Consider the following 23,369-nt stretch of genomic DNA (forward strand, 5'->3'; position numbering starts at 1 on the left):
TGTAAAAAATCATTCTTAACTCCAAAAAATCAGCTGGGGCCTGGATTTCTCATATGGTGAAAGATCAATTGCAGCACATAGTCCAAATACATTTTGGGGCCCAAATACATTTTTGTACTTAAAAAAATCTCTAAAATTACACACTATGGTATCTGTATTTATTTTGTTTAAAACTCCAGTCAATTAAAACATGGATGAAACCCAGCATTTATAAAGGTGAAAGTAGGAACTTGCAAAATCCATGCATACGTCTTTGTGCATCATTAAAGGGCCAAATTCCTTCAGCTTTACATAGATTCTTCCATGGCTGATGAGGTCTCATGGCTTTTTAGGAAGTGGGATAATAAAACTAGCTCTGCCACACTGATGGGATTTTTTTAAGGTGTCCCAAAATGTTTCATTTGTCTCATCAATGACTGCTGTGAAACAGGATCTTGGACAAGTTAACACTTTATTTTATTTTATTATTTGAGACTGGGTCTTGCTCTGTCACCCAGGCTGATGTGCAGTGGCAGCAACATGGCTCACCGTAGCTCAACCTTCTAGGCTCAAGGGATCTTCCCACCTCTCAGCTGGGACTACAGGGGTGCATGCCACCACTCCTGGATAATTTTTGTATTTTTTGTAGAGACAGGGTTTCACCATGATGCCCAGGCTTTGTCTTGAACTCCCAGGCTCAAGTGATCCTCCTGCCTTGGCCTCCCAAAGTTCTGGTATTACAGGCATGAGCCACCATGCCCAGCCACAAGTTAACATTTTTAATGCCTGAAACTCCAGAAAGAAGGACAAAGTAATGGTCCCTTTAAAGTCTCACTGACCTGGGTTACCATCAGTGCCCACACAATGCCATTCACACCCCCTCCCTAAATCCAGGAATACTGCAAAGCAATATTTAGTCATTTCGTGGTGGCTCATGCCTATAATCCCAGCACTTTCTGAGGCGGGCAGATCACAAGGTCAGGAAATCAAGACCATCCTGGCCAACATGGTGAAACCCTGTCTCTACTAAAAATACAAAAATTAGCTGGGCGTGGTGGCGCGTCCCTGTAATCCCAGCTACTCGGGAGATTGAGGCAGAAGAATCACTTGAACCAGGGAGTTGGAGGTTGCAGTGAGCCAAGATGGCACCACTGCACTCCAGCCTGGTGACAGAGCGAGACTCGGTCTCAAAAAAAAAAAAAAGTTTAGTCATTTCCTGCATCATGACATCATAGCCTTCCCCTATTAAGTTATCTAACTGAGTTACAGTTCAAACCGCTGTTTCCATATCAGGAGCTGTTTGGTTTAACATCTCTTCAGCAAAGGTACCATGGGAGCTTTTCAGAAAACTTCAGCTTAATATTCCAACTTATTTTCCTGAGGAGATCCAGCTGTGAATAATAGTGTTGATTCGGTATCGCTGATCATTTGCCAGAATGTGCGATTTGTAAAACTTTGGCAGGGAAAATTGTATTACAGATGTTACATTGGAAAACCTCTGAACTGCCGTGAAATGTAATTGTGTGTTGGAGGGCACGTCATGTCGTTAGCAGGCTGAGTTTACTCTGTTTGGGTGAACAGTGCACATACACTACAATGGGTAGCTGCTCTGTTTATATGAAAGTCAGAGAGACAGAATAATAATCCAACCCTCGAAGACAGCTATAATTACAGCATGTTGACTCCGTCCCCTTGACAGGGAAGCTGCAATGTTTCAAATAGAAAGCTCCATTAGCTAGGTGACCAATTAAGGAAGCAGAAAACAGCGAGAAGGAGGTATAAAATTATCTTGTTAAAATTCTCTTCAAAAATAGAGATATTTAACACATAACAAGAATATACAGTCTAAGGCAGTAGAGAATTTTATTTAAAAATAACCTTGTCCTGTAAAAGTAAAGCTGATCTACGATAAACTGTTCAAATATCTGTATCCCATTTAGAGACAAAGGACCAGGCTGAGCAACATAGTGAGATCCTGTCTCTACAACAAATTAAAAAAGAAAAAATAGCCAGATGTGGTGGCACAGGCTTGTGGTCCCAGCTACCTGCAACTCTGAGGTGGGAGGATCTCTTGAGCCCAGGTGATTAAGGCTGCAGTGGGCTATGATCGGGCCACTGCACTCCAGCCTGGGTGACAGAGTGAGACCCTGTCTTAACAACAGAGAGAGAGAGAGAGAGAGAGAGAGAGAGAGAGAGAGAGAGAGAGAGAATGGGCTTTCATGCTAGAAATAGCTATAATTTTTTTTAAAAAATAATGTGATATTTACTTATATTTTATATTTAGAAAATGTCATTTCCTACATCTAAAATGGCTTTTGAAAATGGAAAAGCAACCAACTGAAATTGTATTGAATTAATTATATCAATACTTTCTAAACTTCCAACAGCTCTGGTGAATCACTATTTCCTATTCTATTGTTTTTTACTATATGGTTGTTTCACATTTTGGAAATAAGTGAGAAGAAACAGTAGAAAATAGACTGTTTGATTTGGTTTTGAATCCTTTGCCTGGATGTATCTGGATTCAAGGTCTATTAGGCTGAATCATATGAAATTGCTGCTTATTTAGTTAAAATGACATCAAATATTGGCAATTTCATAAGTGGTTGCTGGCTACCACTTCAGTGTTTCTTCTGTTATCTCTGTGATAAAGTCTTTGGTCCTTGTCAATTGGCCATGGGTAAATGGGACAATTACAGGATAAAAACTTTATTCTTGGATAATAGGGTAATAAACAATAATAATAACAGGTAGAAAATAGATAATAACAGATAATTGATATACAGATATTAGCTAGGTAATAGGTAGGTAGATAAAAATAATAGTATCGATAGAATTTCTGCTGCAAGGTTTGTATGTCTACAGAAGAGTCTTCTCTTCCTTCCAGTCTTTTGGAAAAAAAAGTAGACACTTTCTCACTATGTTGCCCAGGCTGGCCTCAAGTTTCTGGGCTCAAGCAATCCTCCTACCTTAGCCTCCTGAGTAGCTGGTACTATAAGCATTCATCCCCACACCCACCAGCTAGCAAGCATTCTTTTAACCTTCTGCAAGTAAGAGGTTTTGACGCCCTTCATTTCATTCTTTTATTTGCTGATCATTATGATAATAGTAGTTAACATTTCTAGTGATCTCTTAGCATCCATGGGGATTGGTTCCAGGACCCCCTCATGGATACCAAAATCCAAGATGCTAAAGTTTCTTTTATAAAATGGCATAGTGTTTGCATGTAACCTATGTACATCTTCCCGTATACTTTAAATCATCTCTAAATTATAAGTAATCTTATAATACCTAATACAATGTAAATAGGGTTATATTGCACTGTTTTTTATTTGTATTTTTTATCTGTATTTTTTTGAATATTTTCTACTCGAGGTTGGTTGAGTCCTTGGATGCAGACTTGGGGATATGGAGGGCTGACTGTCCAGTACTTACTAAGTTACTGGGCGTATAATAAAGTCTTTACATGTTATTATTTCCTCCTCAAAATGACTCTGTGAGATAAGCATTAGTATTATAATCTCTGTTTTACAGATGAAAGCTTTGGGAGAGCAAGACAGCTACAAAACCTATTTTTCATTCTACAGTGTATTTGATTAAATGGAGGGAAGACAGGAGAGATGGAGAAAAATTTTGGCCAGTCAAACTTCAGATCCTCAGGTCAAATGTAGCCTTGGTGTCAGAATCTGGAAATTCCTATTGAAGTGGTTTGGTGGCCAATTGTACTTCTGATCCTTGAATTTGAACTTTAAAATCCACCTTTGGGTGTGACAATATGATCCCAGGACTTAATTAACCTCTTAATATGTCATTATCTTTATCTGTAAAACAATACAAAATTATCTACCTCATAGAGTCATTGAGGTTTCCAATGATATTTTACATCCTTAGATGAAGACATACAAAATAATATAACCTATTCCAAAACTGGAAGGAAGCACTCTTTGGTTTTTGTGCTTTCATAATAATTGCTATTTCTCATTTGTAAGTTTGTGGCAACAGATGGACAAGAAAAAATTAGAACTCATAGAAAATATTTTGATAGATATCAGTTTTATAGATTTATAGTTTCTTTTCCTAAACTGTACTGTTCAACAAAAATTATACAAACCTTTTGACTAGGAGATGCATTTTTAAAGGCATATAGACTCTTAGTAATTTATATCCTCTGTACAGCTTATATTTTCTATATCACGAAGAATAGGAAAGAAAAACAGACAGAGTTATCATCATTCATTCTCCAAAAAAGAGCACATGCTTATGGGAACCTTGCTCTAAAACCTAAGCAGCCACATGAAAATGATTTAGCTTCCTGAAGATTGCGCAAGAGTCAACAGCACAGCTAGACAATATTGTTTTAATTCTTCATGTTGCAGAATTATCTAAAGAAAAGAAAGCTGATTTTTTAAATGATAGCTGAAGATATTTTGAAGACAGTTGAATCTGGGTTGGCAAGGCAAAAAGTCAAACAGCACATCAAAACAAGAGAAGGAAACTGTGACTAAAATAAAAGTGATGATATGTTCCTCTAATTTAAACATTCAAGTCTGTGTAAATGAATTAAAAAATTTTCTTTGAAAAGTTCTCACCAGTTGTGAGATAGACCAAATAATTTAACACAAGCAATCTCTAGAGGTTGAATTAAGGTCCTGTTTTAAAAACATTATTAGTAAGCAGATGGCGACTATAAAAATGATCACAAAGTAATGATTATACACACTGCCGAGTCAAGCTGCCCGACCGGTCCTGCCCATTCTTTAACTATTTCATGTATGTCAAGTTCACCACCCCCTGCACACCTATTGTCCTGGCATTTCACAGTTTCTTCTTTCAACAAGGGTAGAAGCGGTTTCTGTGACACAGCTGTCAAAGAAGAACACGTGAAGAGGGAAGAAAGTCTAGGTGAGGGCTGGGTATGTTGGCTCACACCTGTATTCCCGGCACTTTGGGAGGCTGAGGCAGGAGAACTGCTTTTGCCCAGGAGTTCAAGACCAGCCTGGGCAACATAGTGGGACCCTATCTCTACAAAAAATTAAAAAAATTAGCCTGGCGTGGTGGTGCACACCTGTAGTCCCAGCTACTCAGGACTCTGAGGTAGTAGGATAGCTTGAGCTTGGGAGGTATATGCTGCAGTAAGCAGAGATCTCGCCACAGCACTCCAGGCTGAGTGACAGAGCAAGACCTTGTTTCAAAAAAAAAAAAGGAAAAGAAAAAGAAAGAAAGAAAGAAAATGTCTAGGTGGGAACACAAGCTAAGGACCCAGTCTTCAAATTCCAGGACCTCTTGGATCATCCACATACACAACCTGACTCTCATTCACAGAAGCACTTTTCATGAAAACATTATATTACAATGATTTAAACACCCTTCTCCAAATTAGTTAACTTGCTTTACTTCAGATTAGCTAGTTTAAAGAGAACATAATTGATTAGTGAAAAAAACCAACTTGACTAATGAGTGAGCTCTGGGAATAGGTTTCTGGGTACCCAAGAAGCATTAACTCATACAAATAAGTCCAAACAATGACTCCAGCTGGGAAAAGAACAGAGTCAGAACAAGCAGTTGCCTAGGGCAATACATTACCAAGGCAGCGGACTCTGCAAGTGGTTTCTGTAGAACAAATGCAGGCTTTGAATTTAAATATTACCCACTTTGCTTGGGGTAGGTGAATCTGTAGATGAATTACTCACCCCAGAAGTTAAGCAGCCACTCTCCTGACCTCACTAGATGGATGACAGATGGATGTTTTAAAAGTGACTATTCAGAGTTCAGGGTGCAAATGAAGGCATTCACTATATGGCTGCATACACAGCACTGGCTATAAGCCAAGCTTGCTTTCCACCCCTTCTCTCTAGCCCAGCGTAGGCTGCTGACTATAAGCCAAACGCCAATCACCAGGTAGCAATGACTTGTCTTTGCACTGGCTGTGAGGAGGCTTAGTCTTTTTTAATCCTCTACTGCTTGCAAGTGAATTGGGCTATTGGGTATGTATGTATATGTATACACACACACACACACATATTCAAATATGCATATACATATATCTATCTAGCAAACCATCATATTTTCTTTTTTACTTATTTTTTGAGACAGGGTCTCACTCTGTCTCCCAGGCTGCAGTGCAGTGGGTGACTATAGCTCACTGCAGCCGTGGCCTCGTGGGCTCAAGCCATCCTCCCATTTCAGTCTCTTGAGTAGCTGGGACTACATGCACACGCTACCCTGCCCAGCTAATTTTAATTTTTTGTTTGTTCTAGAGACAAGGTCTCACTATGTTGTCCAGGCTGGTCTCAAACTCCTGGCCTCAAGTAATTCTCCCGCTTCAGCCTCCCAAATAGCTGGGATTACAGGCGTGATCCACTGTACCCAGCCTATATTTTCTTAGCCATATTTTTTTTCTTTCCTCAAACTCATTTCAGTTTATTTTATTCTTAAGCAGAGCCTATATTTGTATAAGCTGCTTCAATTCCCTCTATGGAAAGCCACAAACAGACAAATACATAAAGTGTAGAAAGAATGCTAATATGATAGACCGTGAGATCTCAGAGTCCTTTTTAGTGAAGCAGAGGTGTCACTTGTTTAAACTGTTAACCCTGGAGACTGTAAGTGTGAATCAATCCCTCAAGTATTCAAGTTGCAGGGCTCTCAAATTCAGGGTAAAAGAGAATTTATAAAAGCTCTAAAGAACAGGACAATTTATTGAATGGCTGTAATATGAATGCATGTTCACAAGGAATAATTCCATTTCCTTTGTTAAAATTCCCTTTTGTTCTTTGAGAATTCTTTTTTCACTAGCCAGAAAGCAAAATAGCACTGGAAACTGTTTTTGAAATGGACATCATTGGGCTAGATTGTTCGCAGCAATCTCTCTTGACATTGTGTATAATGTTTTATTACATCTGGAGCATCACTAAAAAAGAGGGAATAGAGTCCCACATTCACATATAGCTTCGTAAGGCAGCTATTGAATAGATCTAGCAAATCTTGTGGCTGTTTTGAATGTAATTATGAATCTCTGTCCTGGAGGTTGTCACTTCATTCTTAGGAAGGGGTAGTTCTACCTGTCACTAGGAGACTGGGCGGCCTAAGGAAACTCGTCAGTAGCTTGGGGCTCCCTTGTCTTTAAACTGAGGGGCCTGAAGTTAGATCACAGGGCTGTAGAATTCGCCTACTGCTTTCACAATCATTAGTTCTTTTGATCTTCACAGCAACCCTGAAGGGAGGCAGGGCATTTGTTATTTAATACACAAGGAAATGGAGGCTCAGAGATAAAACAATGTGTTTAAAGATCTTAGAGCAATTAAAATAGAACACCTGAGACAGAATCCAGTTCTTGGAGATCTGTTTTACTGCTGTTTTAGCACTGTGGTTCAGTTGGAATTTCCTACCTCACTTAATACGTAGAAGAAGAAAGTGAGAAAAACAGTGCCAGTGTTGGGGTGGACAGCAGGTGGAATACGCTATTGGTCTGACTCCTTATGGATTGACTTTTGATCTTGTAAAGAATGTACAGAGTCTAAATTTAGCAACAGCCAGCTAATGAACAGCTGGAGTCAGGTCACAAGTTTGGGGTGAGCATGGGTTGAACCAGCCCTGCCTTGCTTTTGGTGGGGCGCTTAGCAACAGTGCTACCCCAGGTGGTTCCATGCTGTAGCATATGCTCAACCTTTTAGTAAAGGCCACAGTCTTATTTAAAAACAAAACATCCAAAATTTCTATTATGAGCCTCCCAAATCCCCGTTAAATAAAAATGCAGTATTTTCCTCACTCTTCTTCCTATGCTGACATTTAGAAATACCATTTTCCTATTTCATTTTATATCTTCAGAGAGGAAACTATGTAATGCAGCAGAAAGAACCCCATTTGGAATTCAAGAAAGCCGGGTCCTCAGCCTCGCTTGACTTAGCTGTGTGATTTTCAACAAGTTACTTAACCTCTCAGAACCTATTTCTGTACAGGAAATCTAGGGGTTTTCCTATCTAAGCTTTGAGATCTTGTCTAACTCTCAAATTCTATGATTCATTTCCAACTTAGGTTTCTCTTATTTAATGTTTGCTATTTGTTTTGTTAGATATTAATTCATATTTGTGGGCCCAGTTTAACTTTCAAATAACAATATTTTTATTATTTGCATTCTATTACTCCTAGGTACGGGATCTCATCCCCGCTAGACCTTGCTTTGTTTTCCTGGGTAATCTTTCTATTATGTGTCATCCATCTCCTGACAAGCATTGCAGGTACCAGTGCGCTTATCACTTGCATCAGTTAGAATGAGAAAAGCCAATTCAAACCGCCTTAACGAGAAAAAAGATCTACTGACTCATGGAACTAAGAGTTAAGGAGTAGTGCAGGTTCAAGCAAAGTTGGATCAGAGTTCTTGATCTATTTCTCTGTGATTTTATTGACTCTACTGATTTGTGTTTACGATGTTTATCCTGAGACAAACAGCAAGAGGATGCAATGGTTCAGGGCCTCCTATCCCTGCCCAAAAGGGACTATAAGAAGAATACTCTACTGTCTATTCTCTATTTTTGTAGCCAGGAAACTTTCTCTGGAATCCTCAGAAAACTCCCTTTTATCTCCTTGGCCTAAACAGAGTCACACACCATTCCTGAACCAGCCACTGTTGCCTAAGGAGTGCCATGCCAGGCTTGAGCCTGGGTATCTGAACCAATTGCTGGCAGGGAGTAGGGCTACCTTGACAGGTTTACACCAGTCAGTGCTACCCATGGAACTGAAGTCCAACCCCATAACTACAGAGTGGCTACATCATGGTGGAGGAGAGGATGTCAGAGAGGCAACCTTATTCCATTGTATCTTGCCCATCCAGCTCTAAGAACATGGGGGCAAAAATTGCATTTTCAGATCTTCTGCGTGCCAGGCACCCAGCTAATGTTTGTTACATTGAATAGAATGGAATGGAATGGAATTTTAGGTAGTGGTGAAGACAAAAACCAAAACAGAAAAATAACACGCAGTTCTCTGTACCTCTTCCTCTCAATTCTATTCTTGCCATGGCTGCTGTTCATGCTCCCTAACTTTCCCCACTATTTATATGTTACCCCTCTTATTTTTAGCCATAAGTTTTACTTAGTCTGAAGATAACCAAATATTTCCTGAATAATAAGTCTCTGAATATGCATATTCTCTAAATATGAATATAAGCCTATTTGCAAATCTAGCACTTACATTTAGAATGTTGTTGGCAGGACTCTGAAAATCAACTTTTTTTTTTAATGGAAAAATATACTACAGCAGAAGGATTTGTTTTCCACAAAGCAGAACCAACTTTTTTGATTTCAATGATTTTTTGATACTTCCGTATATATTTATATGCTCATTAAATAAATAAATATTAAGTCAGACCTTCTTGATTAGAGAATCGTCTGTCACTAAAAATTGGACTTAGGACTTACAAGTCTCTCTCATTAAAGAGAAGGGGTTGTAAGAGGGCTGGGATGCCTGGATTTATTCAGCCCCTCTTTCTCCCATTCTAGCTCCCAACGTGGTCCCATTCTCTGAGAAAGTACACAAGGCCCCGGGGCCAGGCAGTAGGTGATATTCATAAGCAACAAGAAATAGGAAGCCCTCTATATGGGTTTAGTAGCGCCCTCTTCCAAAACAAGACCACAGCAACCGGCTGATCGGGGCCACCCCTCAGGAAATGCTGGACCCAGGGCCACCCAACTCAACAACACTTTCAATCCTTTAGTAGCTTTTACTGAGCACACCATCTGCGTAAACTTCAGTGTTCTATGATATAGTCCCTGCCCTTGAGAGAGGTAGACAAGGAAACAGGCAATTACAATCCAGCAGTGAAGTCCCTGGAAGAGGTAAACCCAGAGTGCTACCAAGGCAGAGGTAGCACTGTGAGAGGGCTGCTCCATGGCCTAACACCAGAGGGGTCAGGATTCACTTGAAACACAATGCCCTTCCATGGAATGTTCTTCCATTTGTTTGTGTCCTTTTTTATTTCGCTGAGCAGTGGTTTGTAGTTCTCCTTGAAGAGGTCCTTCATATCCCTTATAAGTTGGATTCTTAGGTATTTTATTCTCTTTGAAGCAATTGTGAATGGGAGTTCACTCATGATTTGGCTCTCTGTTTGTCTGTTATTGGTGTATAAGAATGCTTATGACTTTTGCACATTGATTTTGTATCCTGAGACTTTGCTGAATGATGTCCCCTGCAGCTGTGCAATGTGGCAGCCCTGACCCCCGCCCCATCTTAGCATGGTCAAAGAAGCCTTCCCAGAAGAAGTGATATCCAAGCTGAGGTTTGAAGTAAGGAAGGGGAGAGCATCCAGACACTCTATACCAGGTTTGGAAGGGGGAGTGCACATATACAGTGTAAACATGGCCCAGCACTTAAAGAGGAATACAGACTGCACATCCTCAGGTGAGTGCATGGTAAAGGAGCACTCCTTCTATTGCAGGGTGAGATGAGGGATGTGATTATGTTCAGATACATATGGGCCTTAGATCTTTTTGGATACTAGCTGATACTTTATCAACAGTTGTCTTCCTGAGTTCTTGCATATCTGCTAATATTGGAGAGTTTAAGGAGAGAGCAGAGTCCAAACTCAGGGTGTGTCTTGGGGTGTCTTAAGACAGATTATCACTGTGAACAAAACAGGAATAATTAACGACATTAAATAGTTCATCCTTCCCTGCCTTTATAAAGTCTCACCGAGCTTGCATTTGGCAGCCTGACCTACCAGTAAGATTATAAAACAAATGAATTAGTAAATATCGAAATAATTCTGTTTGCCACATGTGTGAATGTTAAAAAATTCACTGTCATAATTCAAGCCCAGGTTTTAATAGAAGCACGTGGATCTAAGCAAAATCAAATGAATGGACCAATGTTCAATATACAGTGATGGATGTCTTGAATAACCTGAGTTGACAGATATAAAATGAGATCATAAAAACGTTGGCTTTTTAAAAATGTGTTATTTACATCATTTCTTGAAGCCAAACACTGTAATGCCACTAACATTATTAGAAAATCTGGAATCAGATTAAACGTGATCACTGGTTATTATCATTTTTGTGACGTAAGTCACAGTTCTACTTACATGTCTCTGGGTTTTGAAAATGTGATTACCAGAGTTGGGCTCTTAGGACATACACTTGAAAAGATAAATTAGAAACTATGGAATCATTTTCTGAACTGTTTGTGAGATAACTGTTGATAGTTCCAGAAGCATCCCTAAAAAACGACTATTTTTATGGGATAAATTGTATCCCTGGATGAATGCCTCCTCTGGTGTTTATTAGAACTTCCATGGGACTGGGCGAAGTCAGTATTTTAGGATGATACTGTCAGAGCTATGTACTTTGAGCTCCTAGCAGTTCATTTTGATTTCATTTGTTTGTCTTTATAACACTGTGAATCTGAAGAAGAAAATCTGAAGTCTCCATTCTTCCTCTACCACCATAGAAGTTGAATGTTATGTATAATGACTTTTCACTCCAAATGGTGCACCTAAGGAAGCCACTGTAACTGCAATGACAAGTGTAAGAGTTTTGTCACTGGCCCTGTGGCATCTAATTATGAACCACACTTGTCTTTAGAATGAACACGAGCTCCTCATGTATCGCCAGTCACTTTACCTTTTGCAAAAAGGAACTGTTTTAAAACCTTAATCTTGGGCACGGTGGCTCATGTCTGTAATCCCAGCACTTTGGGAGGCCAAGGTGGGCAGATCACTTGAAGTCAGGAGTTTGAGACGAGCCCGGCCAACGTGGCAAAACCCCGCCTCTATTGAAAAAAAAAAATTAGCCGGGCGTCATGCTGCCCACTGTAATCCCAGCTACTCAGGAGGCTGAGGCAGGAGAATCGCTTGAACCTAGGAGCCAGAGGTTGCAGTGAGCCAAGATCGCACTACTGCACTCCCGCCTGGGGGACAGAGCACGACTCCATCTCAAAAGAAAAACAAAAACAAAAAACAAAACAAGCAAAAACCCTTAATCTTTGCAAGATGACCTTCTTTTCAAGCAGAAACATGCATTATGCTTACATTTTCATAGCAGACATCCAGATATACATAAATTTCTACTCATTAATAAGCATAAAAACTAGTTACTGTCCCCATTTTATTCAGATCTATTGATCTTCTCTTAATTTCTGTGTTTTTAATCACAGTATATAATCAGAGGCATGGAAAGTTAAATTTTTGATAATGAAAGCCAGACTTGTTCAATAGGTTTGCAAGATAATTTTGTTATTAGAAATCATTGATGAAGGCTGTATTAGTTCATTCTCCCACTGTTATAAAGACACACCTGGCCAGGTGCGGTGGCACACGCCTGTAATCCCAGCACTTTGGGAGGCCGAGGTGGGTGGATCACCTGAGGTCAAGAGTTTGAGATCAGCCTGGCCAACATGGTGAAACCCCATCTCTACTAAAAATACAAAAAATTAGCTGGTGTGGTGGCACATGCCTGTAATCCCAGTTCCTTGGGAGGCTGAGGCAGGAGAATAGCTTGGACCCAGGAGGCAGAAGTTGTAGTAAGCATAGATCGCACCACTGCACTCCAGCCTGGGTGAAAGAGCGAGACTCCATCTCAAAGAAAAAAAAAAAAAAAGACACACCTGAGACTGGGTAATTTATAAAGAAAAGGCTGGGCATGGTGGCTCACATCTGTAATCCCAGCACTTTGGGAGGCCAAGGCAGGTGGGTCACCCGAGATCAGGAGTTCAAGACCAGCCTGGCCAACATAGTGAAACCCCGTCTCCACTAAAAATACAAAAAATTAGCCAGGTGTGGTGGCATGTGCCTATAGTCCCATCTACTTGGGAAGCCAAGGCAGGAGAATTGCTTGAACCTGGGAGGTGGAGGTTGCAGTGAGCTGAGACTGTGCCACTGCACTCCAGCCTGGGCTATATAGTGAGACTCAGTCTCAAAAAAATAATATAAAGAGAGGAGGTATAATTGGCTCACCGTTCTGCAGGCTGTATAGGCTTCTGCTTCTGGGGAGGCCTCGGGAAACTTACAATCATGGCAGAAGGCAAAAAGGAAGCAGGCACATATTCATATGGCCAGCAGGAGAGGGAGAGCAATGGGGGAAGGTGCCACATGCTTTTAAACAACCAGATCCTGTGAGAACTCTATCATGAGACAGCACTAGGGAGATGGTGCTAAGACACTAGAAACCACCCCCGTGAGCCAGTCACATCCCACCAGGCCCGATCTCCAACATTGGGAATTAAAATTCGACGAGAGATTTGGGTGGGGACACAGAGCCATTCCAAAGGCTTATGTCAGAATGTCACCCTTGAAAAGGGTCATGTTTGAAGAATTCATGCTAGCACTATGACAATTGTGAGATAACTATCGATGATTCCAGAAGCATCCCTAAAGAAATGAGTAGATATGCCATGACTTAAATGAGACTGACAGCATTTTATAAATGGAAGGGACCACAGAAATCATCAGGGCACAGGTGAGGAAATTCATTCAAAGAACAAAACAGTACTGTTAAAATAAATGAAGCAGTTCTTATAAAACCGCTAGATTCATATAGTTTTCTGAAATCATGCATCTGAACCAAACAAATGTATTTTTGCATCTGTGTTTTTTTAAAAAATGATAGAAGTACAACATGATTAAGAGTTCCACATTCTAAGATTATAGCAAAAGCTAGAAATGAATGGAAATTTTTAGCAGATCAGTGTTCATCTTAGGCATCTATATTCCTCAGAAGCATTTTCTACTTAACTGGGTCCCTGTATAGCTTTCTATGATTGATATCTTTCTGATATCCGTATAGGAAGTGTGAGCAATTATTGAGATTTTTACTCAAAAGTCTGAATATAATTTTTGTGTATTGTAGATGTGACCATATGTATGCTGAAACAGCGAAGAGATTTAAATTCAGTTAGAGAATAGTGAGTTCTAGTCTGTCTTTTTGGTATCAAGAGTTGTAATCTATTGAAAGAATGAGTTAGAATTCACTTACACGTGCCTGTGAGTGCACACACGTGCCAATGTACATATGCACGAAAGACCTACCAGAGACACACTAGCAGCAAAGTATCCCCTGCATAGTTCAGAAAACGTGTCTGGCTTGATATAGAATTTTCAAGGAATAAAAAAATAGACCTTTTCAACTGGTCATTGTCCTTGTCCATTCCTTCTGCTATGACAAAATATCTTAAACTGGACAATATATAAGGAAACAGAAATTTATTTGTTACTGTCTGGAGACAGGAATTCTAAGATCAAGTCACCAGAAGATTCAATGTCTAGTGAAGGCTCACTCTCTGCTTCATAGGTGGCACCTTGCTGCTGTGTTGTCACTTGGTGGAAGGACAAAAAGGGGCTAAATAGCCTTCCTTAAGCCCTTTTTTTTTTTTTTTTGAGACATAGTCTTGCTCTGTCATCCAGGCTGGAGTGCAGTGGCATGATCTCTGCTCACTGCAACCTCCGCCTCCTAGATTCAAGGGATTCTCCTGCCTCAGCCTCCTGAGTAGCTGGGATTACAAGCGAGTGCCATCATGCCCAGCTAATTTTTGTATTTTTAGTAGAGACAAGGGTTCACCATTTTGACCAGGCTGGTCTAGAACTCTTGACCTCAAGTGATCTGCCAGACTCGGCCTCCCAAAGTCCTGGGATTACAGGTGTGAGCCACCATGCCTGGTCATTGGGGATTAAGTTTTAACATGAATTTTGGAGGGACACAAACATTCAAACCATAGCAGTCATGGTTCTGACATATACACAAGAGTAACCCTGTGATTTCTTTTCTTTGTATAGAATATTATAATTTTTTCTCTTTTTTATAGGATATTATAATTGCTCAAGGCATTGATTACCAGGTCAGGGTCACCAAGTGTATTAGTTTGCTAGAGCTGCTGTAACAAAGTACTGCAGACTGGGTGGCTTAAATATATTGCCTCAAAGTTCTGGAGGCTAAGTCCAAGGTCAAGATGTTGGCAAGGTTGGTTCCTTCTGAAAGCTGTGAGGTAGAATCTGTTCCAGGCCTCTCTGGAAGCTTCTGGTGGTTTAGCTGGCAATCTTTGCTGTTCCTTGGCTTGTAGACAACATAACATCCCAATTTCTGCCTTCATCTTCACATGGTATTCCTCCTATGTGTCTCTGTGTCTAAATTTATCTTTTTATTTTATTTTTTAAAGGGATGGAGTCTCTCACTCTGTCACCCAGGCTCCTAGGCTGGAGTGCAGTAGCAAAATCATAGCTCACTGCAGTCTTGAACTCCTGGGCTCAAGAGATCCTCCCGACCCAGCTTCCTAAGTAGCTGGGACTACAGGTGCACGCCACCGTGTCCAGCTGGGTTTTCAGAAAACTTTTTTAGAGACAGGGTCTCACTGTGTCGCCCAGGCTGGTTTCTGACCCCTGGCCTCAAGCGATCCTCCCACCTCAGCCTCCGTAGGAGCTAGGATTACAGGTGCGAGGCACCACACCCAGCCAAATTTCCCCTTTTTATAAGGATACCACTTACATTGGTTTAGGGCCCACCATAATGATCTCATTTTAACTTGATTAATTACATCTGCAACAACCAGTTTGTCAATCTGCAAATAAGGCCACAAGGCCATGTTCTGAATTACTGAGGGATAGGGGGTTAGGACTTCATCAATCTGGCAGGGGGACACAATTCAACCCTTTACAAAAAGAAAAAGTGACCTAGTTATCAAATAATTTCCCAGGGTCCTGTGGAATACAGGGATTGATTATGAACATAGCAAAATGCAATCATGAAAACCAGTGTCCTGGTTTACAAGAATACCTATTGAGCACCTACATGGAGTAGGCATTTCTTAATTATGGGATTAATTGAAATTCTCAAGTGTTGTGATTTTTAAATTAAAAAAAAAGCTCTCGGAGGAGGAGCCAAGATGGCCGAATAGGAACAGCTCCGGTCTACAGCTCCCAGCGTGAGCGACGCAGAAGACGGTTGATTTCTGCATTTCCATCTGAGGTACCGGGTTCATCTCACTAGGGAGCGCCAGACAGTGGGCGCAGGCCAGTGGGTGCGTGCACCGTGCGCGAGCGGAAGCAGGGCGAGGCATTGCCTCACCTGGGAAGCGCAAGGGGTCAGGGAGTTCCCTTTCCGAGTGAAAGAAAGGGGTGACGGACGCACCTGGAAAATCGGGTCACTCCCACCCGAATATTGCGCTTTTCAGACCGGCTTAAAAAACGGCGCACCACGAGACTATATCCCACACCTGGCTCAGAGGGTCCTACGCCCAAGGAATCTCGCTGATTGCTAGCACAGCAGTCTGAGATCAAACTGCAAGGCGGCAGCGAGGCTGGGGGAGGGGCGCCCGCCATTGGCCAGGCTTGATTAGGTAAACAAAGCAGCCAGGAAGCTCGAACTGGGTGGAACCCACCACAGCCCAAGGAGGCCTGCCTGCCTCTGTAGGCTCCACCTCTGGGGGGCAGGGCACAGACAAACAAAAAGACAGCAGTAACCTCTGCAGACTTAAATGTCCCTGTCTGACATCTTTGAAGAGAGCAGTGGTTCTCCCAGCACGCAGCTGGAGATCTGAGAACGGGCAGACTGCCTCCTCAAGTGGGTCCCTGACCCCTGACCCCCGAGCAGCCTAACTGGGAGGCACCTGCCAACAGGGGCACACTGACACCTCACACGGCAGGGTATTCCAACAGACCTGCAGATGAGGGTCCTGTCTGTTAGAAGGAAAACTAACAACCAGAAAGGACATCTACACCGAAAACCCATCTGTACATCACCATCATCAAAGACCAAAAGTAGATAAAACCACAAAGATGGGGAAAAAACAGAACAGAAAAACTGGAAACTCTAAAACGCAGAGCGCCTCTCCTCCTCCAAAGGAACGCAGTTCCTCACCAGCAACAGAACAAAGCTGGATGGAGAATGATTTTGACGAGCTGAGAGAAGAAGGCTTCAGACGATCAAGTTACTCTGAGCTACGGGAGGACATTCAAACCAAAGGCAAAGAAGTTGAAAACTTTGAAAAAAATTTAGAAGAATGTATAACTAGAATAACCAATACAGAGAAGTGCTTAAAGGAGCTGATGGAGCTGAAAACCAAGGCTCGAGAACTACGTGAAGAATGCAGAAGCCTCAGGAGCCAATGCGATCAACTGGAAGAAAGGGTATCAGTGATGGAAGATGAAATGAATGAAATGAAGTGAGAAGGGAAGTTTAGAGAAAAAAGAATAAAAAGAAATGAGCAAAGCCTCCAAGAAATATGGGACTATGTGAAAAGACCAAATCTACGTCTGATTGGTGTACCTGAAAGTGATGTGGAGAATGGAACCAAGTTGGAAAACACTCTGCAGGATATTATCCAGGAGAACTTCCCCAATCTAGCAAGGCAGGCCAACGTTCAGATTCAGGAAATACAGAGAACGCCACAAAGATACTCCTCGAGAAGAGCAACTCCAAGACACATAATTGTCAGATTCACCAAAGTTGAAATGAAGGAAAAAATGTTAAGGGCAGCCAGAGAGAAAGGTAGGGTTACCCTCAAAGGAAAGCCCATCAGACTAACAGCGGATCTCTCGGCAGAAACCCTACAAGCCAGAAGAGAGTGGGGGCCAATATTCAACATTCTTAAAGAAAAGAATTTTCAACCCAGAATTTCATATCCAGCCAAACTAAGCTTCATAAGTGAAGGAGAAATAAAATACTTTATAGACAAGCAAATGCTGAGAGATTTTGTCACCACCAGGCCTGCCCTAAAAGAGCTCCTGAAGGAAGCGCTAAACATGGAAAGGAACAACCGGTACCAGCCACTGCAAAATCATGCCAAAATGTAAAGACCATCGAGACTAGGAAGAAACTGCATCAACTAATGAGCAAAATCACCAGCTAACGTCATAATGACAGGATCAAATTCACACATAACAATATTAACTTTAAATATAAATGGACTAAATTCTGCAATTAAAAGACACAGACTGGCAAGTTGGATAAAGAGTCAAGACCCATCAGTGTGCTGTATTCAGGAAACCCATCTCATGTGCAGAGACACACATAGGCTCAAAATAAAAGGATGGAGGAAGATCTACCAAGCAAACGGAAAACAAAAAAAGGCAGGGGTTGCAATCCTAGTCTCTGATAAAACAGACTTTAAACCAACAAAAATCAAAAGAGACAAAGAAGGCCATTACATAATGGTAAAGGGATCAATTCAACAAGAGGAGCTAACTATCCTAAATATTTATGCACCCAATACAGGAGCACCCAGATTCATAAAGCAAGTCCTGAGTGACCTACAAAGATACTTAGACTCCCACACATTAATAATGGGAGACTTTAACACCCCACTGTCAACATTAGACAGATCAACGAGACAGAAAGTCAACAAGGATACCCAGGAATTGAAATCAGCTCTGCACCAAGCAGACCTAATAGACATCTACAGAACTCTCCACCCCAAATCAACAGAATATACATTTTTTTCAGCACCACACCACACCTATTCCAAAATTGACCACATAGTTGGAAGTAAAGCTCTCCTCAGCAAATGTAAAAGAACAGAAATTATAACAAACTATCTCTCAGACCACAGTGCAATCAAACTAGAACTCAGGATTAAGAATCTCACTCAAAGCCGCTCAACTACATGGAAACTGAACAACCTGCTCCTGAATGACTACTGGGTACATAACGAAATGAAGGCAGAAATAAAGATGTTCTTTGAAACCAACGAGAACAAAGACACCACATACCAGAATCGCTGGGACGCATTCAAAGCAGTGTGTAGAGGGAAATTTATAGCACTAAATGCCTACAAGAGAAAGCAGGAAAGATCCAAAATTGACACCCTAACATCACAATTAAAAGAACTAGAAAAGCAAGAGCAAACACATTCAAAAGCTAGCAGAAGGCAAGAAATAACTAAAATCAGAGCAGAACTGAAGGAAATAGAGACACAAAAAACCCTTCAAAAAATCAATGAATCCAGGAGCTGGTTTTTTGAAAGGATCAACAAAATTGATAGACCGCTAGCAAGACTAATAAAGAAAAAAAGAGAGAAGAATCAAATAGACACAATAAAAAATGATAAAGGGGATATCACCACCGATCCCACAGAAATACAAACTACCATCAGAGAATACTACAAACACCTCTACGCAAATAAACTAGAAAATCTAGAAGAAATGGATACATTCCTCGACACATACACTCTCCCAAGACTAAACCAGGAAGAAGTCGAATCTCTGAATAGACCAATAACAGGATCTGAAATTGTGGCAATAATCAATAGTTTACCAACCAAAAAGAGTCCAGGACTAGATGGATTCACAGCCGAATTCTACCAGAGGTACAAGGAGGAACTGGTACCATTCCTTCTGAAACTATTCCAATCAATAGAAAAAGAGGGAATCCTCCCTAACTCATTTTATGAGGCCAGCATCATTCTGATACCAAAGCTGGGCAGAGACACAACCAAAAAAGAGAATTTTAGACCAATATCCTTGATGAACATTGATGCAAAAATCCTCAATAAAATACTGGCAAACCGAATCCAGCAGCACATCAAAAAGCTTATCCACCATGATCAAGTGGGCTTCATCCCTGGGATGCAAGGCTGGTTCAATATACGCAAATCAATAAATGTAATCCAGCATATAAACAGAGCCAAAGACAAAAACCACATGATTATCTCAATAGATGCAGAAAAAGCCTTTGACAAAATTCAACAACCCTTCATGCTAAAAACTCTCAATAAATTAGGTATTGATGGGACGTATTTCAAAATAATAAGAGCTATCTATGACAAACCCACAGCCAATATCATACTGAATGGGCAAAAACTGGAAGCATTCCCTTTGAAAACTGGCACAAGACAGGGATGCCCTCTCTCACCGCTCCTATTCAACATAGTGTTGGAAGTTCTGGCCAGGGCAATCAGGCAGGAGAAGGAAATAAAGGGTATTCAATTAGGAAAAGAGGAAGTCAAATTGTCCCTGTTTGCAGACGACATGATTGTTTATCTAGAAAACCCCATCGTCTCAGCCCAAAATCTCCTTAAGCTGATAAGCAACTTCAGCAAAGTCTCAGGATACAAAATCAATGTACAAAAATCACAAGCATTCTTATACACCAACAACAGACAAACAGAGAGCCAAATCATGAGTGAACTCCCATTCACAATTGCTTCAAAGAGAATAAAATACCTAGGAATCCAACTTACAAGGGATGTGAAGGACCTCTTCAAGGAGAACTACAAACCACTGCTCAAGGAAATAAAAGAGGACACAAACAAATGGAAGAACATTCCATGCTCATGGGTAGGAAGAATCAATATCGTGAAAATGGCCATACTGCCCAAGGTAATTTACAGATTCAATGCCATCCCCATCAAGCTACCAATGACTTTCTTCACAGAATTGGAAAAAACTACTTTAAAGTTCATATGGAACCAAAAAAGAGCCCGCATCGCCAAGTCAATCCTAAGCCAAAAGAACAAAGCTGGAGGCATCACACTACCTGACTTCAAACTATACTACAAGGCTACAGTAACCAAAACAGCATGGTACTGGTACCAAAACAGAGATATAGATCAATGGAACAGAACAGAGCCCTCAGAAATAATGCCACATATCTACAACTATCTGATCTTTGACAAACCTGAGAAAAACAAGCAATGGGGAAAGGATTCCCTATTTAATAAATGGTGCTGGGAAAACTGGCTAGCCATATGTAGAAAGCTGAAACTGGATCCCTTCCTTACACCTTATACAAAAATCAATTCAAGATGGATTAAAGATTTAAACGTTAGACCTAAAACAATAAAAACCCTAGAAGAAAACCTAGGCATTACCATTCAGGACATAGGCGTGGGCAAGGACTTCATGTCCAAAACACCAAAAGCAATGGCAACAAAAGCCAAAATTGACAAATGGGATCTAATTAAACTAAAGAGCTTCTGCACAGCAAAAGAAACTACCATCAGAGTGAACAGGCAACCTACAACATGGGAGAAAATTTTCGCAACCTACTCATCTGACAAAGGGCTAATATCCAGAATCTACAATGAACTCAAACAAATTTACAAGAAAAAAACAAACAACCCCATCAAAAAGTGGGCGAAGGACATGAACAGACACTTCTCAAAAGAAGACATTTATGCAGCCAAAAGACCCATGAAAAAATTCTCATCATCACTGGCCATCAGAGAAATGCAAATCAAAACCACTATGAGATATCATCTCACACCAGTTAGAATGGCAATCATTAAAAAGTCAGGAAACAACAGGTGCTGGAGAGGATGTGGAGAAATAGGAACACTTTTACACTGTTGGTGGGACTGTAAACTAGTTCAACCATTGTGGAAGTCAGTGTGGCGATTCCTCAGGGATCTAGAACTAGATATACCATTTGACCCAGCCATCCCATTACTGGGTATATACCCAAAGGACTATAAATCATGCTGCTATAAAGACACATGCACACGTATGTTTATTGCGGCACTATTCACAATAGCAAAGACTTGGAACCAACCCAAATGTCCAACAATGATAGACTGGATTAAGAAAATGTGGCACATATACACCATGGAATACTATGCAGCCATAAAAAATGATGAGTTCATGTCCTTTGTAGGGACATGGATGAAACTGGAAACCATCATTCTCAGTAAACTATCGCAAGAACAAAAAACCAAACACCGCATATTCTCACTCATAGGTGGGAATTGAACAATGAGATCACATGGACACAGGAAGGGGAATATCACACTCTGGGGACTGTGGTGGGGTCGGGGGAGGGGGGAGGGATAGCATTGGGAGATATACCTAATGCTAGATGACACGTTAGTGGGTGCAGCGCACCAGCATGGCACATGTATACATATGTAACTAACCTGCACAATGTGCACATGTACCCTAAAACTTAGAGTATAATAAAAAATAAAAAATAAAAAAAAATAAATAAAAAAAAAGCTCTCACATTGTATGTCTAAGAAATGTGTTCTAATATCTTTCACTAAGTGAAATCATAAGATTATGAACTGTCAAAGCTGTAGGAATGATAATGACCATCTCAAGTCATGGAGAAAAACTGGAGACCAGAGAAGTTAAATGAGTTAAGGTCACATGGCTAGTTAGTGGCAGATTAGAGACTGAAACCTTGGTCTCAGATTTGGCTTTCTAATGCAATGACCTTTCCACGGACCCCTGAGTAATAAGCTGATCATGCCCTACTGCTCTGAGTTACAGAAGGCCATGTGATCTATCGCACTCTTGCATCTATTTTTTAAAATAGAGGTCTGCTTCTCAACACTTTTGCATCTAAGTTTCTATTTGTATTTAAAAGTTATCTAAATCACTAATTGGAGTTGAGATATATAAGGAAGAAAAGAAGCAAATAGATTCCACCCCATCCCTCCAATTCCAGGTCTTTGACATTCTCTCATCGTTAAAGCAGTGGCTATTTCAGAGCTTAAAAGAAAAAAATTTTCCTTTTTAATGAAGAGTTCTAGTGGAGACCACTTAAACTGAGAGATGAACTTAGTAGGGAATAAGTTGATGTCATATGCCTCCTGATAGGATGCTATAACTATATAGCTTCACTTACTACATATTCTTCCAAAAATATTTAACCTGGATTTAATCAAACCATTAGAGTTCACCTTCAAATTTACAGAAGATCCTGGGAATAAAAGAGCAAGATTAACCATACCATGAGTAAACAATCAGGCAAATCTAGAATGTGGGACATTCTAAAAGCTAACTAGTTTAATCTCTTCAAAATGTCAATATTATTTTTTTAAAAAAAGATATGGCAACTGTTGTAGGTAAAGAAATAAGAGAGGTAACAACAGAAATGCAGTGTGTGGACCTTGACTGAATTTTAGTTTAAAAAAAAAATAACTAAAAAAGACATTTTGGGGGACAAATAGAAAAATTTGAATATGGACCAGATGTTTGATAGTATTTTATAAGGAAATTGTTTAATGTCTGTGGGATAACGATATTGTCGTTAAGTAAGAGAATATCCTTATTCTTTGGGGTGAAATGTTGAGAAATCTATAATTTAAAACTTTCATATCACTAAAAGCCCAGACTTTACCACTATACAATATATGCATGTAAGAAACCTGCACTTATATCTCCTAAATATAAGCAAATTTTTAGGCCAGGCATGGTGGCTCACACCTGTAAGCCTAGCACCTTAGGAGGCCGAGGTGAGCAGATAGCTTGAGCTCAGGAGTTTGTGACCAGCCTGGGCAACATAGCAAAACCCTATCTCAAGAAAAAAAAATTTTTTTAACTGAAGAAAACCTTTCACATGGTTCAGCAAACAAAGCAAATAATGTATCATTATAGATAAAGATGGCAAAATTTTAAAAACTTTTGAATCTAAGTAATTGTTATTTGATTTTTCTTGTACAATTCTTTCAACTCTTCTGTTGAAATTTTCAAA

At 40.4% G+C, this 23,369-nt stretch overlaps 1 long non-coding RNA gene across 4 annotated transcripts in view, besides 3 other annotated features; it reads right to left on the reverse strand.

Moving 5' to 3' along the window:
* The window catches only part of BHLHE40-AS1 (BHLHE40 antisense RNA 1), an 83,153-nt gene that overhangs the window by 3,898 nt on the left and 55,886 nt on the right, over positions 1-23,369 (reverse strand). The window contains exon 1 of one of the 4 annotated variants that reach the window (NR_125914.1): positions 5,670-5,795. The exons of the other annotated variants lie outside the window; for them this stretch is intronic. This is a non-coding gene — a long non-coding RNA (BHLHE40 antisense RNA 1). Of the gene's footprint in view, positions 1-5,669; positions 5,796-23,369 lie in introns of those variants that run through there. 4 annotated transcript variants of the gene reach the window in all.
* Positions 5,446-6,151: an enhancer, noted in NCBI's record as "NANOG hESC enhancer chr3:4947837-4948542 (GRCh37/hg19 assembly coordinates)". NCBI's record gives its function as "activates a minimal SCP1, AML or CMV promoter by ChIP-STARR-seq in primed H9 embryonic stem cells {active_cell/tissue: H9 hESC(primed)}" and the evidence as "EXISTENCE:reporter gene assay evidence [ECO:0000049][PMID:30033119]".
* Positions 5,789-5,928: an enhancer, noted in NCBI's record as "active region_19361". NCBI's record gives its function as "activates an Ori minimal core promoter by ATAC-STARR-seq in GM12878 lymphoblastoid cells {active_cell/tissue: GM12878}" and the evidence as "EXISTENCE:reporter gene assay evidence [ECO:0000049][PMID:35858748]".
* Positions 16,086-16,714: an enhancer, noted in NCBI's record as "NANOG-H3K27ac-H3K4me1 hESC enhancer chr3:4958477-4959105 (GRCh37/hg19 assembly coordinates)". NCBI's record gives its function as "activates a minimal SCP1, AML or CMV promoter by ChIP-STARR-seq in naive H9 embryonic stem cells {active_cell/tissue: H9 hESC(naive)}" and the evidence as "EXISTENCE:reporter gene assay evidence [ECO:0000049][PMID:30033119]".

Source organism: Homo sapiens, chromosome 3, assembly GCF_000001405.40.
Source record: "Homo sapiens chromosome 3, GRCh38.p14 Primary Assembly".
In the NCBI taxonomy this organism is placed as follows: Eukaryota; Metazoa; Chordata; class Mammalia; order Primates; family Hominidae; genus Homo; species Homo sapiens.